Below are 3,588 nucleotides of genomic sequence, written 5' to 3' on the forward strand. Positions count from 1 at the left end.
GCCCTACCTTTGCGGGAGCCCCGCCTGGGGTTATGTCTGACATGTCCTTCTTCAGGATTCTCCACTGAGTGTGTTTCAGGCTCTCATTCTGGCAGAATGTAAGACCAGGATCTCCACCCCAGATGGAGACAGGTGTCCCCCTTCCCTCTGCTACCCAAAGGAGCTGAGCTCCTTGCAATGGGAAGACTGAGTTCCTTCCCCCTGGCCTCAGCACTGGCACACACCCAGCAGCCTCTTCCCAGAGCGCATCTCCTTCTGTGGGAGCAGGATGGCTACAGAAGGTCACCGCCTATTTGTAGCTGCTCCGTTTCCAACCAGAGACGCCTGCCAGCTGCCGCCGACCACCCCGCCGACCCTGTTTCTGTATGTCATATGGTGGCTGGGAGCCACGGGCCCTCTCCAAGTCCATCCACTTAGGATTTCCTCCTCCGTCAAACTCAGAGGCTTTGCCCAACTGCATGGGTGTCACGTGGAGGGAGCAAGTGTCACCTCCAGGCTCCCCCAAGGACTCCACACGTCCTGTAAGCATCCTCCAACTAACCCATTGCAGAGAGTCCTTAACTCCAGTTACTTTCCCCAGAGCCGCTCTGCAGATGCAAAGGGCTCGTGCTTTCATTTGTTCATTCATTCATTCAGCCATTCCTGATGTTTACTCATTCACTGCCAATCCCACACGCCTCTATGCTGCTCTCTTCCACAAGCATTTGGCTCTTCATTTCAGAATTTCCGCTGAGTCATAGCTGGAGCAGGCAGTGAGGGTGTCCCTTCAGCTCTCTAAATTTACCTCCCTGAGCTTGATTTCCCATAGTGGCCAGTTGACCTTGACCAGATTGACTTCAGAGAAGCCAGCTGTAATTAAGCAGAGGCAGAAATCTCCAAGGAGGAAGGTGCCTCAGGTCGGATGCGTCCCTCCGGTCCTGTGGCCAGAGCAGTTGCCCTCAGTGTGTGTCTCCTCCCGTCCTGGCACTGCCCATGGCAGGGCTCTTAGTACATGCCTGGCCCTGCAGCCGCATGGAGGCGTGACATGTGACCATGACTTTCGGCTGGAGGTGGGGGTCATGTGCACGTGGCCTGGGGCTTAGCTCTCACCCTGCTACTCACTCAGAATTCTCCTCTGGGTTTGGAGGTCTGTGAGCAAGATGAAAAAACACAGAATTCTGTTATTCTGTTCCTCGTAGTGTAAGCATTCTTTTTCTTGGGTTCTTTTTTAGGAACAGAACAAAATTAAAAGTAAAGGGAGCCAAAAGCAGCAACACCCAGGGCTGAAGCGTAGGACTGAAGGAACACATTTAGAAACACGTGTGACCATCGCTGCCATGGCTGTGTGACTATAGGCCAGTTGTTTAACTTCTCTGGGCTTTGTGCTGCTCATGAGACCCAAGGTCGCTGTTGTAAGACATCTGTGTGCATGTGTGTGTGCGTGTGCATATCCCTTGATCGTTCTATTTTTCTATGTCTGCTTACTCTAGCAATAGAGAGAGCACCCAAAATGCTAAATAACACCAAAGGCCACAAAATGGATGGCACGGTGGCATTGCACTCGAGGAGCCCGGGTTGCTATTATTTTCTGTTTTTCCAGAATGTTAACAGGAAACACAGAGTTCTATTGTGAGGCAAACCTTCTCCTTTTCCAATGGGGCAAATGTTCCAGGCACACACCCAGCTGAACAACATCGACATTCTTGCCTTTGGTCATTGAGATGCTGGCACCTTTTGGAAAACTTGCCAGAAGTTTTTCTCTTGCTGCTCCACAGCGTAGGGGAAGAAGAGGTGGCTGGGTTTTGTTACTCAGCCATCAACAAAAATGAAGAAAATGGGGGAGTCTTCCCAAATAAATGACTCCTGCTTTCCAGGGAGACACATTATTGGAGATAAATACACTAAATTTTGCTGTTTGACTGTCTCCATCTGAATCCATGTACCAGGAATATGACAAAGTCAAGGCAGGTGTATGTAGAATAAAAAACATAAACGGGGGAAGCTGAAACGTTAGAATATGCATAGTGGATATCCTGTGTTAAGTCAAGTTTGCTTCTGAATGCCAACAAGCAGGACAACAGTATGGTAAATACAGAACTTGCCAAGAAGCACAATGTGTCCCACAGATACTATTTCATTCTTCACAGACCAGTGAGTCCTCAGCTGAGGGTGGGGACAAGGAGGGCAGCACGTGACAGTCCCTTGGAAGTTTTTCAAATCCCATACACACACTCATGCTTCTCCTTCCCACCCTTCTGTAGAGATTTCAGCATGCCGCCCCCTTTGAGAAGTGCTGTGCTTTTTAGGGACATTCTCCCAAAGATAGCCTGTGGTGCTTTCATGCTATTAATGGACCAGAGCATTAAAAATGAAATTCTGCTACTTCCTGCCAATCAAATTCTTCCCCGAGCCAAAACCCCAGCCCAGGTGATGGAGTCTTAGCATAACTCTCAAGGCTCACCAGTCTTTATGAACTTGATCCTTTTCATTTAGTTAAAAGAAATCATTTAAGCTTACATCCAACTTTAAGTCATTGATAGTCATGGGAGACCAGAAGGTTATGGATAATTGATATCCACTGATAATCCCCAAGCCTCATTTGGATCAGTAGTTTCAACTCTCCCTCCCTGAAAGCTCTTATTGGAGCTGCTTATAATGCAGCTACCCTCACTGGTTTGTGTTATCTCCTATCCTTGTATCATTCCATCTCCCAGCAGAAGCGGAAAGTATTGAAAAGGCCCATGGGCAGCCAGCCAGCAAAAAGAAGAAGCTGAAACATCCCACAGCAGGGAATTGCTATGTATGTAAGCCCCATTTCAAGAACAACTAATACAGAAAAATCCAAATCTTAAAACCTACAAATTAGTGCACGAGTACTACAACTGATGTGCCTTACAAACAGATTTTTACTTAATAAACAGACTCTGTGAGATCTTTGGCCAATGGTTATTCCTTTGTATGGCTTCTTGAAATTCCCTGAGAAATTAAAGAAAGTGATGGACCCCTTTTCCAGAAAATTGTATTCACACATACAGACATAAAATTTTGCTTATAATTTCAAGGGTTTCACAGAACTACCAAGCAGCTTATAGATATAATGCAATATATTGAACCTAATGCAAACAATAAATAGATGTAGCCAGGCATGGTGTTTCATACCTGTAGACCCAGCTAATTGGGAGGCCGAGGCAGGAGAATCACTTGAGCCCAGGAGTTCAAGACCAGCCTGGGCAAGATAGTGAGACCCCATCTCAAAAAATCAATTATTTATTAATTAAGAAAAGAAATGTAATTCCTTTCTTCTATTAGATTACGACCTATAAGAAAGAATAGTAAACACTACAAATCTGACTGTATTATGGGTTATAATGAAAGACATACAATGCACCAATATGATGTATACATAATTTAATTATATATATTTTATCAGGCAGAGTGGACAAGCCTTAACCAAACCTGTCTCAGTTACTCTAAAGACTACACTCTAGGTGGAGCCAAGATAGCCGACTAGAAACAGCGGCAATCAAAGGCTCCTATGAAAAAGAACCATAATTGGTGCGTAAATCCTTCATGGGCAACCAAGCTACCCAGGTTCTCTCATCAGGACTG

At 45.9% G+C, this 3,588-nt stretch overlaps 1 annotated feature.

Annotated features, from left to right (window-relative positions):
- Positions 734-1,607: an enhancer, noted in NCBI's record as "H3K27ac-H3K4me1 hESC enhancer chr6:4402855-4403728 (GRCh37/hg19 assembly coordinates)". NCBI's record gives its function as "activates a minimal SCP1, AML or CMV promoter by ChIP-STARR-seq in naive H9 embryonic stem cells {active_cell/tissue: H9 hESC(naive)}" and the evidence as "EXISTENCE:reporter gene assay evidence [ECO:0000049][PMID:30033119]".

Source organism: Homo sapiens, chromosome 6 (genome assembly GCF_000001405.40).
Source record: "Homo sapiens chromosome 6, GRCh38.p14 Primary Assembly".
NCBI classification, from domain to species: Eukaryota; Metazoa; Chordata; class Mammalia; order Primates; family Hominidae; genus Homo; species Homo sapiens.